At 40.8% G+C, this 13,973-nt stretch overlaps 1 annotated feature.

Annotated features, from left to right (window-relative positions):
- Window positions 2,858–3,039: a silencer, noted in NCBI's record as "fragment chr5:39608583-39608764 (GRCh37/hg19 assembly coordinates)". NCBI's record gives its function as "represses an EF-1alpha promoter that drives an FKBP-Casp9 reporter gene in an ReSE screen in HepG2 liver carcinoma cells {active_cell/tissue: HepG2}" and the evidence as "EXISTENCE:reporter gene assay evidence [ECO:0000049][PMID:32094911]".

Raw genomic sequence — 13,973 nt, 5'->3', positions numbered from 1 at the left:
AAAAATTAGCCAGGCATGGTGGCCGGCGCTTGTAGTCCCAGCTACTTGGGAGGCAGAGGCAAGAGAATGGCGTGAATTCGGGAGGCGGAGCTTCCAGTGAGCGGAGATCACCCCACTGCACTCCAGCCTGGGCGACAGAGAGAGACTGCATCAGAAAGAAAAAGAAAAAGAAAAAAGAGAGAGGGAGGGAGGGAGGGAGGTAGAGAGGGAGGGAGAAAGAGAGAGGCCAGGCACGGTGACTCACGCCTAATCCCAGCACAGTGGGAGGCCGAGGTGGGCGGATCACCTGAGGTCAGGAGTTGGAGAACAGCCTGGCCAACATGGTGAAATCTCATCTCTACTAAAAATACAAAAAATTAGCCGGCGTGGTGGTGGGTGCCTGTAATCCCAGCTACTTGGGAAGCTGAGGCATGAGAATCACTTGAATCCAGGCAGCAAAAGTTGGCCGTGAGATGAGACTGCACCACTGCACTGCAGCCTGGGTGACAGAGCAAGACTCCATCTCAATAAAAAGAAAAAAAAAAAGAAGAAGGAAAGGAAGGAAGGAAGGGAAGGAGGGAGGGAAGGAAGGAAGGAAGGGAAGGAGGGAGGGAAGGAAGGAGGGAGGGGAAGGAAGGAAGGGAGGAAGGAAGGGAGGGAGGGAGGGGAAGGGAAGGGAAGGGAAGCCAGGGAAGGGAGGGAGGGAAGGAAGGAGGGAAGGAAGGGAGGGAAGGGAAGGGAAGGGGAAGGCAGGGAAGGCAGGGAGGGAAGGAAGGGAGGGAAAGGAAGGGAAGGGAAGGGGAAAGCAGGGAAGGCAGGGAGGGAAGGAAGGGAGGGAAAGGAAGGGAAGGGAAGAGGAAGGCAGGGAAGGCAGGGAGGGAAGGAAGGGAGGGAAAGGAAGGGAAGGGAAGGGGAAGGCAGGGAGGGAAGGAAGGGAGGGAAAGGAAGGGAAGGGAAGGGGAAGGCAGGGAAGGCAGGGAGGGAAGGAAGGAAGGAAAGAAGGAAGGAAGGACAGACAGAGTGAGGGGACATCTTTCATGTGGAGCATTTTTTTATAAAAAAGAATAAAAGCTACTTTGGGAGGCCGAGGCGGGCGGATCACAAGATCAGGAGATCGAGACCATCCTGGCTAACACGGTGAAACCCCGTCTCTACTAAAAATACAAAAAAATTAGCCTGGCGTGGTGGCGGCCTCTTGTAGTCCTAGCTACTCCGGAGGCTGAGGCAGGAGAATGGAGAATGGCATGAACTTGGGAGGTGAAGCTTGCAGTGAGCCAAGATTGCGCCACTGCACTCCAGCCTGGACGACAGAGCGAGACTCCGTCTCAAAAAAAAAAAAAAAAAAAAAAAAAAAAAAAAGGAATAAAAGCTTTTAAATTCCCTTGAGGTTAGATAACTATCATCAGCAATAAGTATTGATCAGAATATATCCAAATTTGCTTTTGTAACTTATAAATTCTTCACAAGTTGACCCAAAACTTATTTCCTTCTCTGCTCCAGCAGCAAAGAACTACCCACCATTCCTCAAACGGTTTTTCCTGTCTAGGAGCTTTGCACATATCGCTCCCTCTGCCAAGCACGCCTACGATTGCATTTCTCTCTACTGTATAGACTATTCCCATTCTACACAGTGCAAGCCAAAAGTGCCCTCCTCTGTGAGACCTTTCTCAATTTAGTTGTTCTCCAATGTCCCGAGCATGTCCATATTCCTTAAGTCCTGCCTCTACCTCAAGAACTGTCATAATTCCAAGTCTCTCCAATGTCCGTGTGGTTGGTTGTATCATCCAACAAGCTAGTTTTATGCTTCTTTGACTTCCTAAACTCCAATCATATTCACATTTATTTTATATCATCCACCCTCATCCAGGGCAGCAACATTACTTGCTTCACCTCTGAAATCTTATATTCTAATATCTTCTTTCTGACTCTACTTCCTCCTCTCTCAATCCCAATGTAACAACATTTTAATCTCATTAAATGTTGACCTTCTGTGTTTGATTATTCTGTTAACACCATCCTGGCTATTGTCACATCCCATCCTTGCCAAGTGTCAACCCCATGGTGCAAATCTATAGGTATCTGAAGGTGCAAATCTGAAGGTATAGGCAAAAACATTTGCCTAAACCTTCAAATGCTTTTATTTAGACACGTTCACCCTACAAATTTTCAGCCAGTAATTCTGTAATTTGCCTCATTTTGTTGTAATATAATGTTGTGAGGATTTTAGGAGAAAAACCATAATTTTTTTTAACTTAGGATACTCTTACCTGCAAGCAATGAAAAATACAAGTGAAAAGCTTTGAATAAGAATGTTTACTATCTCTTATAACAAGAAGTCCAAAGGAATAGTGCTTCTAGGGTTGGTTAATCAATTGTTATCTTGGCTTGATTTGGGCTCATGCCTTCAATATTGCAAAGTGACTGCTACTGTTCTATGTATCACAAGCAGTTATGACAATATTCAGACAAAAAGACAGGAGTTTGCTCCTATTCATCTGTTTGAATAAGGTGAAAATCTCTTCCAAAATTCCTACAGGGCATTTCCCCTAGGGTTTCAGTGGCCAGGTTTGGATCATAAGCTCTTGATACAAATGCAAAGGAGGCTGAGAAAGCAAGGATCTAACATTTTTGTAGGATTTCGGCTTTGTCATTGATATAATTAATATTGATGCTTATAAATGTATAGTCTCCATCTAAACTGGCCCTTCAATGCTGCCTGACAGTAGTTCTGCTTGGCCCAGTGCTTCTAAAACTTTAATGAACATGCAAATCACCTGTGGATATTTAAAAATGCAGATTGGTAATCCCAGCACTTTGGGAGGCTGAGGCGGGCAGATCACGAGTTCAGGAGATCGAGCCCATCCTGGCTAACATGGTGAAACCCTGTCTCTACTAAAAAAATTAGCCGGGCATGGTGGTGGGTGCCTGTAGTCCCAGCTACTTGGGAGGCTGAAGCAGGAGAATGGCGTGAACCCGGGAGGCGGTGCTTGCAGTGAGCTGAGATCACACCACTGCACTCCAGCCTGGGCGACGGAGTGAGACTCCATCTCAAAAAAAAAAAAAAAATTAATAAATAAATGCAGATTGGATTCAGAAGGTCTGGGAGGGGGCCTGAGATCTGCATTTCTATCAAGCTACTACAAAGGGATGCCAAATTTACTTGACTGATAACCACACTTTCAGTTACAAGACTCTTTCCACTTCTACTTCAAATATTCTTCTTCACGCTCTACTAGCCTAGCATCATCCCCATTACTCTTAGGAAATGACCTCATTCCTTATTTCACAAAAAATTACAAAACAAAACAAAACAAAAAAACCTCATAAGACAGAGAACTCTCGATTTAAGAGGTAACACTTTATGAGCACCAAGAGAATTGGCCTTGTCATTAAACAGTTGAAGCTTCCAACTCCGGATATACCACTTACTCTCCTGCGATATTTCGCAATATCTTAACCTTTCTGAGTCCCAGTTTCTTAAGTTATAAAATGAAAATAGTAATGCCAAAATCTTGGTATTTTTGAGGATTAAGTGAGATCATGTAAATGTGTTCCATTTAAGTGTTTTTTTGTTTTTTGTTTTTGAGACAGAGTTTTGCTCTTGTTGCCCAGTCTGGCAATGGAGCAATCTCGGCTCGCTACATTCTCTGCCTCCTGGGTTCAAGCAATTCTTCTGCCTCAGCCTCCCGAGTAGCTGGGATTACCGGCATGCGCCACCACACCTGGCTAATTTTGTATTTTTAGTAGAGACAAGGTTTCTCCATGTTGGTCAGGCTGGTCTCGACCTCCCAACCTCAGGTGATCCTCCTGCCTCGGCCTCCCAAAGTGCTGGGATTACAGGTGTGAGCCATTTAAGTTTTTTAAGAATAAACAACAAAAACAACTAACACAAAAAAAGAACTGGAAGGATATTAAGTGATACATTATTTGACATCTGTTTTGACTGTAAAGGAAAACCTAAAATAAATTTTTCTCAAGCAAGTTAGTAACTCATTACTCTCTCACATTCAAGGGTTTGGAGACATCCTGTCAAGACTATCATGGCACTCCACAGTGCCAGGAACTCAGGCCAGGATTATTCTACCTACTAAGGATATATAATATGTTTCAAGCAGACTTGGAGATGGACTCAGTATTCTACTGGGCTTACTGTGAAATAGAATTAGATCTAACCTACATCTATCAGCTCACTTCACAAGGCTCCACTTTTCCTGATTGGCTGTGTTGTTCTAGGTCTCAGGAACCAGAATTGATTAAGAGTCTGTGACCAATTCAACCCAAAGGTAGGTTCCTTTTCCCAGTGCGTGTTTACTCTGATAAATGGATGCATTAGAGAATAGTACAAAGAAAATTTACAGAAAGTACTTATGAAGTGAATGATCCATCCTGCTCAACTTCTTTCTAATTGAAGGGATGCTAGGTCTGGATTTTGGGTGAAAGATTTTGACTTCATATCATGATAGCTCATGTCAGGTCTCTGGAGGTCAGATTGGAGTCCTTTCAGTTATACTGAAATCAAGTTTAACACTGGTGGTTTACGTATATATTTCAGTCCTATGTTCAGATTTCTCTCATTACTACTATATGCATTCTGTCTGCTTTGATAAGCATAGCCCATCCACTGTCTGGGGTTTGGAACTGAATTTGTGTCTGCAGCTTGGGATTATTTCCTCCCATTAAAATATGAATACCAACTTCAATAGCATTCTCTACGAGTACCCATAGACAAGAGAAAACAGCCAATAAAATGGTTTGAAAAGCTGAGAAACATTCCACTGACGTATATTATAACATATATATCCATATTAATAGAGGGAACTATCTATGAGACAAATGTATCAATCCACAACCAATTGAAAAATACAATAGTCCTTTACAATAGCTCATTTGAAGAGCATTACTCCTGTATTTATTCATCCCCCAAGGCTCCACAAACTCCAGGTTATAAAACTTTAAGAAGAAAATCAGACATTGGCAAACGTGATTAAATACATTTGTTTCTTTACTTGAAATATAGTGTTTTCTCACCATTTGTGTACTTAACATTTCGTGTTTCAGCTATTCATAAGCAACCCAGAAAGTCCATGGCATGCAGTGCTTTGTCATTTTGCTGAGGTAACCATTTGAATTTTGCTTTGGTGTGCCAAAATGAGTCACTGCCTGATACATAAACCTTTTGTGACCACCCAACATTCATTACAGTGTGACTCTGTTACATTTGACTCCTTGTCACCTACATAAACTGAAAATTTTGCATTAACATTATATTAAACAGTATCTGAACTTATCAGGAGCTTCTTTCAAATGCCTCTTAAAGTAAACATGAATTAAAAAATTATCACAGTCAACATTAAGTAAACAGTCAGGATGGAAGGAGATATTTAAATAATGTCAGATTTATGACATAGCAGGCAAAGCAAACAAAAACATACACTCCAGAGAATGAGAAGACAAGTCAGAGGCTGAAAGAAAATATTTGCAAAAGACATGTCTGATACAGGACTGTTTTCCAAAGTATATAATGAACTCTTAAAGCTCAACAATAAGAAAATGAACAACCCAATTATGAAATGGGCAGAAGCTGTGAACAGATACTTCACCAAAAAAAGATTCATGAATGGCCCAAAAACGCATATTAAAAGATGCTCATCATCATATGCCATTAGGGAATTAAATCAAAACTAAGTGAGATATCACTACACACTTATTAGAATGGTGAAAATCCAGAACACTGAAAACACCGAATGCTGATGAGGATGTGGAGCAACAGAAAGTATCATCTGTTGCTGGTGTGAATGCAAAATGACACAGCCATTTTGCAATATAGTTTGGCAGTTTCTTACAAAGCTAAGCATACTCTTACCATATAATTCAGCAGTTGTGCTCCTTGGCATTTACCCAAATCAGTTGAAAACATGTCTACACAAAAACCTACACACCGATATGTATAACAATTTTATTCATAATTGCCAAAACTCAGAAGCAACCAATGCTCTCTTCCTCAGGTGCTATGGTTTAAATGTGTCACCCAAAGTTCTTACGTTGAAAACTTAATCCAAAATGCAACAATATTGGGGGCTGGAGCCCAATAAGAGGCAATTATGACTCCTTCATAATGTTGTAATCACGGAGTGGGTTAGTTATCGCGAGAGTGTGCTTGTTCTTGCTCTTATGCTTTCTTGCCCTTCTGCCTTCTGCCCTGGGATGACTCAGCAAGAAGGCCGTCATCAGATGTGGTCCATCTACCTTGGACTTTCCAGCCTCCAGAACTACAAGAAATATAGATCTCTTTTTTTTTATAAACTGGCCAGTCTGCAGTTTTCCATTATGACAACACAAAACAGACTAAAACCATAGATGAATGAATAAATATACTTTACACATTTATTCATGTAAATATGAATAAATATTTATTTATTTATCCAATGTTCTGGATGTACATCAATCCTATAAAAGAAATGAGCTATCAAGCCATGAAAAGACATGGAGGAACCTCAAATGCATATTACTGAGTGAACAAAATCCACTCTGAAAAAGCTACATACTGTATGATTCCAACTATACGACATTCTGGAAAAAAACAAAACCATGGAGGTGGGAAAAAAGATCTGTGGTTGCTAAAGATTAGGAGAAGGAAGGCATAAATCAACAGGGTGCAAGGATTTTTAGGGCAGTGAAGCTCTTCTGTGTGGTACTACAATGGTGGATGCCTGTTATTATATGTTTGTCAAAACCCATAGCATGTGCAATAGCAAGAGGGAACTCTCATGTAAACACTAGGCTTTGAGTGATAATGATGTGAGAGTGTACAGTCACAGAGTAAGACAAATCTACCACTCTGGTGCAGGGTGTTGATATTCCGCGAGGCTGCGTATGGGGTGGGGTGAAGGACAGAGTGTATATGAGAACTCTCTGTACTTCCTGCTCAGTTTTCCTGTGAATCTAAAACAGCTGTAAAAATAAAGCCCACTTATAAAGACAGACGTGGAGAATTTATTCAAATTAATTTACAAGCACATTAAGAAATAGTTCCACAGTTTAGACTAGCAGTTACAAAGAAATCTTTAAATGGAAACTCCTTTATTTAGGGTGTGGCCATAGGAACAAATGCATTATTTTTTTAAAATAAAAAAGTATACTTTATGTAACCAGTTAATTGGCAACCCACTCTCTAGAAATGGGCCTGACAAGCTCAACGTGGAGGATGTATCAAGTAATGTGTTCCGTTGGCAAAATTATAGGTTCATTTACCAAAGGTTAACAACTATATTACAATGCCAAAAGTTTTGTTTCAATTAAAATAGTTGAATATTATTAATTCCATAAGTTGTCCACAAGTAAAAATGATGTTTAACTGCCAGTGTTGCCTTTACTGAAAGGAAGATAACTCTCAAAGATAATTCTCAAATTTTGGTGCCTGACACTGGTTAAAATTGGCACGAAGATTTTGACATAAATATTTTTTACCTTTTCTGGCTTGTTTCTAATCCTGATTTGTCATTTTTCTTAGTGGCTTATCATTTAATATTTGTCAGAGTTCAGTGGGTGTTATTTCTCTGTCTCTTTCTTATTGTTAATTCTTACATTCCACATATAACTTCAAATAGCTCATTCTCATAAAATAATTTTCTGATGTAAATATTCTGGCAGAGAATAAATTAGTATATGGGAATTCGGTAGTCATTTTTCTACAACAACCAACTTATAGTCTTCCATTTTATTACCTCTTTTATCCAAATTTAAATAAATTTTGCTGAACAAAACATTTAGAATTAGATTCAATAAATCAAATCATTATAATATTTTGTCATTGTTGACTTTAGAAGAGTCCAGGGCATGGAGAAAAAGCAAGGAACTTTGTGTGATAAAAGTAACAAACTTGAAACTTCTTAAATATTAAATAATTTATATTTATATTTTTAATAATTTGGGCAATTATTTGGGAAAATTAAGTCAGATTTTTTACCTCATGCTATTAAAAAAGGTGACGTAAGTATTTGTATGTGTGACTGGATGAATAATATCTCTAAATATACCCAGGTTCTAATCTTTGGAACCTGAGAATGTTACTGTATATTGCAAAAGGGACTTCACAAGGTGATTAAGTTAAAGAGTTTGAGATGGGGAGATTATCCTGGAATACCTAGGGATGTCCTATATGCAATCACAAGTGTTCTTATAAGAGGGACGCAGAGGAAGATTTGACTACAGAAGAGATGGAGCTGTGACAATGGAAGGAAAAGACCAGAGTGTTGTGAGGAAAGGATCACAGGCTAAGGAAGCACGCAGCCTCCAGGAGCTGGAAAAGGCATGGAAACAACTTCTCCCCTGAACCTCCAGAAGGAACCAGCCTTGCCTACCTGCCCACACCTTCAGCCCAGTGAAACTGATTTCATGCCTCCTGCCTCCAGAATTGTGTTGTTTTAAACCACCCAGTTTGTGGTAATTTGTTTCAGCAGCCATAGGTAACTAAAACCATATGCAAAAAGAAAGATATGTAGTTTTTTCTGTGTGTGTATATTTATATATAATTGTATATGTATACATACACACACACCAAATACATATGGTATGCACATTGAAGCAGTTGAGAGACATAACTGATGTCTATGGCCCACTTCAAAATGCATAAAAGTGATTGATGTGATGGATAAAGGGATGGAAAGATGTACAGATACATTTAAAAAGTCAGTATAGTATAATATTACTGTAGAATCTAGATGGTGGGGATATAGATTTATACTGTAAAATTTCTTCATGTTTTCTATGTTTGAACCATTTTCTAATACAATATTGGAGAAGAACATAGATGAAACTGGAGGTTACCATGAGATAGGAAGCAATCTTTTATCTCATGACAACAAGGGAAAAAGCTGAAAATAAAAAGATTATTGAATCTGCCGAGTCAAAATGAAAAGCTTTTGGGTCAAAAATTTTTAAAAATTAACAAAGTTCATAGAAAAACAATGTACTGGGAAATATTTGCAACATGTGTGTGAAAAGACGTGTATCCATAATATGATAAATAAAGATCGTCATTGGAGGTGTTTAAAGATCTGATAGGCTGGTGCAGTGGCTCATGCCCATAATCCCAGCACTTTGGGAAGCCAAGGCAGGTGGATCATTTGAGGTCAGAAGTTTGAGACCAGCCTGACCAACATGGTGAAACCCCCATTTCTACTAAAAATACAAAAATTAGCCAGGCAGTAGTGGCGTGCACCTGTAATCCCAGCTACTAAGGAGGCTGAGGCAGGAGAATTGCCTGAGCCTGGGAGGCAGAGGTTGTGGTGAGCCGACATTGCACCACTGCATCCAGTCTGGGCAACAGAGTGAGACCCTGTCTCAAAAAAAAAAAAAAATGCTGAATACATAAAGCTATTATGGTTAGGATTCAGGTAACATTCTGTAGCAGTAGTTAAATTTTGTAGTCAACTATTTGTCTATCTCAACTACATTATTATTTTTATTATGTCATGAAAATTATATACAAAGGGCGTGGAAGAAGAAACTCAATCAGAGGTTGTGAGAAAGTTGTCCCTTATTGGTAAGATGATGCTAGTTAGTAACATAGATGGTACCCTGGACATTTCACCAGCAGAACATGTGCATTTAGTGCTAACTCAGAGCCAGGGGTACATCTAAAATGACCTAGCTGGCTGGGCACGGTGGCTCACGCCTGTAATACCAGCACTTTGGGAGGCCAATGCAGGTGGATCACGAGGTCAGGAGTTCAAGACCAGCCTGGCCAAGATGGTGAAACCCCATCTCTACTAAAAAAAAAAAAAAAAAAAAAAAAAAAAAAAAAGGCCAGGCACGGTGTCTCACGCCTGTAATCCCAGGACTTTGGGAGGCCCAGGAGGGCGGATCACGAGGTCAGGAGATCAAGACCATCCTGGTTAACACAGTGAAACCCCGTCTCTACTGAAAATACAAACATTAGCCGGGCTTGGTGGCGGGCGCCTGTAGCCCCAGCTACTCGGGAGGCTGAGGCAGGAGAACTGCGTGAACCCGGGAAGCGGAGCTTGCAGTGAGCCGAGATCGCGCGGCTGCATTCCAGCCTGGGCGACAGAGAGAGACTCCATCTCAAAAAAAAAAAAAAAATAGCCAGGTGTGGTGGCAGGCGCCTGTAATCCCAGCTACTCGGGAGGTTGAGGCAGAGAACAGCTTGAACCCAGGAGGCGAAGGTTGCAGCGAGCCAAGATTGCGCCACTGCATTCCAGCCTGGGCAACAGAGCCCAGACTCCATCTCAAAAAAAAAACAAAAAATAAAAAATAAATGACCTAGTTGCAGCTTTTCCTTGACCTTTCTCCTAAGGCATAAAGCTATTTTCTAAGAAACTAGCACATCACTAATTAAATTAAACAATATAAAATGCTATTGAATTATTATTTACTGTAATATTGGCCATTTAACTATTATAAATAAATGACTTACCATGTGAAAAAGAATGAATGTTTTTATTATGGTGTATCCAATCAATGGAAGAGTAGGCAGCCAGTGCAAATTGTTTTCAGAGAATTTTTGGCGATCAGAAGAAATTTTCATAAAAGATGTTGTATAGCAGTATATAAAGTTGTCTACATGGTATGATCCCAATATTTTCACAAAATCTTTTAAGTAAAAATAAACAGAAAACATAAGGACTAGAAGGATATCAAATTGAAAGTAGTTTTTTTTCTGGATTGTGGGAAATAGCCTTTGTTATCATCTTTCCATTTATGCATGGGATTTTTTTTGCAATAAACATGAATAACATAATGAAACAACACTACACCATAAAAGGTATATTATGTATGGATGTATATAGATATAGCTTTAAGTGAAAGCAGCAAATGCAGTAGACAGTGTAATCAGATAAAATTGTGTCAGCAGTGGCTCCAATTCTAGCAAACTGAAGGAAAGTGGTCACGACCACTGAAGGAAAGTGAATACCACCGTGCCTGCTTCTCCACTGTGCAACCCTGGTTATACATTGGAATCAGGGCATTTTTAACCTAAATTCCTGGGCTGTGCCCTTGGAAATTCTGAGATTTTTCTGAGTGGGGATGAGGTAACTGTATTTTATTAAATTTCCCCCAACTGACTCTAATGACAGGAAGATTTAGATATTACACAGTTAAGCAATGGTTCTTAAATTGTATTATGTAGAAGAATCACTTGGTGCTTGTTCAAAAATACAAATTCTTGGACCTGCACCTCCACAAATTCTGATTCTTTCAGTTTGAGGTAAAGCCCAAGCAGAAATCTGTATTTTAAACACCCAACTTTTCTGATACAGATGTTCCATAAAAAACACTTTACATAAACTTGAGCAATTAATGTTATAACACATATAGGAAAGTTAACAGAAAGTACCTTCTGAGGGCAATTTTTATCATTACTCGAAATTCACACAGCCATGAGCATATACATTTGTATGTATATATACATATTTTTTTAAGTGTTTTACTTCCAAATTAATCTAATTCTCAGTTGCCATTTGTAGTTTACCTTTTAAATGCAAAAGTGTCACCTAGGGGTAAAAATAGGTAACTGCAAGATGATTTCAGTTTTTGCATTAAATTCTTTAATTTGTACATATTTCATCTCTAAAACTTTATTGCCCAAGCACTAGAGAGGCAAGACTGAGTCATGATTAAAAGCAAGAGTTCTGACGTCCTACTGACCTTTGACCCCTTGCTTTGTCACTTACTAGCTGTGTGCTTCTCAGAGCCACCATTCCTTTATCTGTAAGCAAGGTTATCAGTAGTGCTTACTCCACGGGGTTAAGTAACAGAATACAGCAAAGCGCTCAGCACAGCGTCTAGAATACACTACAAGCTCAGTAAGAGGTTGTCTTTTCTTGTACCAAAATCTACTCTCTAAATACGATTCATATTGAACTTGAGTAATGTGACTCCAGTAGCAAATATCATTCTTGATCATTGTGAGAATGCTGCTAGCATCGAAAATCTGAAATTAAAATTTTATCTGCAGTCACATTTATGTAAACTACTTAGCTTACTATGATTTCTAACTCTGACAAGTTCATTCAAAACTAGCAATCCGGGAGGGGCCAAAATGGCTGACTAGAAACAGCTGTGGTCAGAGTCTCCCACTGAAAACAAAAATGGCGAGTGAATCCTACACCAGCAACTTCTCTCATTGGGACTGACTAGACAGTTGGTGCAACCCATGGAGAGAGAGGAAAATCGGGGTGGACCAATGGCCCACCTGGGAGCCGCATGGCAAGAGGAGCTCCCACTGTAGCCAAGGCAGGTGGTGAGTGATTGTGCTACCTTGCCCAGGAAACCACGCATTTCCCACGGATCTGTGCAACCTGTTAATGAGGAGACCCCCATCGTAAGCCATGCCACCAGGGCCTTGGATCTCAAGCACAGAGCTGTGTAGATTCTTAGCAGCCACTCAGTTGGAGACTGCCTAAGACTACCAAGTTCCCGCGGGGAGGGGCGGGTGCCACCACTGCAGCTCCCATCTGCTGTTCGTCCCCTGCTGGTGCAGGGGAGACTTGGACCCAGGAGGAATTCCCCAGAGCGCAGCACAGTGGCTGTGGCAGATAATAGCCGGACTGCCTCTTTAGGCTGGACCCTGACCCATCCCTCCTCACTGGGTGAGGCCTTCCTGCAGGAATTTCAGCAACTCCAGCCAGGGGTTTATGGACAGAACTCTGATTTCCCTGGGATGGAGCCCCTGCGGGGGAGGGGCAGCCATGTTCTCCACAGGTCAGCAGACTTAGTCTTTCCCCTGCTGGCTTTGAGGAATCTGGGCCGTCTGGATTAGTGGGATTCCCCCCCAGCACAGCACACTCCCTCCACCAAGGGGCAATCAAAGTGCTTTGTTAAACGGGCCCCTGAACCCGTGCCTCCTGACTGGGCGAGACCTTCCCCCAAGAGGGGTCACCAGACACCAGATACAGTGGTCACCAGAAACCTATACAGAAGCGTTCCATTGGCATCAGCCTCTCTGGGAGGAGCTCCCAGAGTAAAGAGCAGGCAGCCATCTTTGCTGTTCAGCAGCCTCCATTGGTGATACTTCCAGTTGCAGGAGGGACCCAGATGAATTGAGTCTGGAGTGGATCCTAAGCAAATTGCACAGCCCTATGGGAGAGGGGTCTGACTATTAAAAAGACAAACAGAAAGCAACAACAACATCAACAAAAAAGACCCCACAAAAACCCCATCCCAAGGTCAGGAGCCTCAAAGATCGAAGCTAGATAAAGTCACAAAGATGAGAAAGAATCACTGAAAAAACATGGAAAACTCAAAAAGCCAGAGTGCATCTTCTCTTCCAAATGGTCACAACAACTCTCCAGCAAGGAAACAGAACCGAGCAGAGGATGAGATGGATGAGCTGAGAGAAGTAGGCTTCAGAACATGGATAAAAATGAACTTCAGTGAGCTAAAGGAGCATGATCTAACCCTGTGCAAAGAAGCTAAAAACTATGATAAAACATTACAGGAAGTGTTAATCAGAATTACCAGTTTAGAGAGGAACATAAATGACATGATAGAGCTAAAAAACACAACACGAGAACTTCACGATGCAACCACAAGTATCAATAGACCAAGTGGAGGAAAGAAGTACCAAATAGACCAAGTGGAGGAAGTACCAAATAGACCAAGTGGAGGAAAGAATTTCAGAGCTCGAAGACTATCTTGTTGAAATAAGACAAGCAGAGAAGATTAGAGAAAAAAGAATAAAAAGGAATGAACAAAACCTCCAAGAACTGTGAGATTATGTAAAAAGATTGACCCTATGACTGATTGGGGAACCTAAAGAGATGGGGAGAAAAGAACCAAGTTGGAAAACATATTTCAGGATATGATCCAGGAGAACTTCCCAACCTAACAAGGCAGGCCAACATTCAAATTCAGGAAATCCAGAGAACCCCAGTAAGATATGCCATGAGTAGATGAACCCCAAGACACATAATCTTCAGATATTTCAAGGTCAAAATGAAGGAAAAAATGTTAAGGGCAGCAGGGACAAAGGC

This window comes from Homo sapiens, chromosome 5 (genome assembly GCF_000001405.40).
Source record: "Homo sapiens chromosome 5, GRCh38.p14 Primary Assembly".
In the NCBI taxonomy this organism is placed as follows: Eukaryota; Metazoa; Chordata; class Mammalia; order Primates; family Hominidae; genus Homo; species Homo sapiens.
Note: the sequence above shows the minus strand (reverse complement) of the source record. Positions and strands in the feature narration are given on the sequence as shown.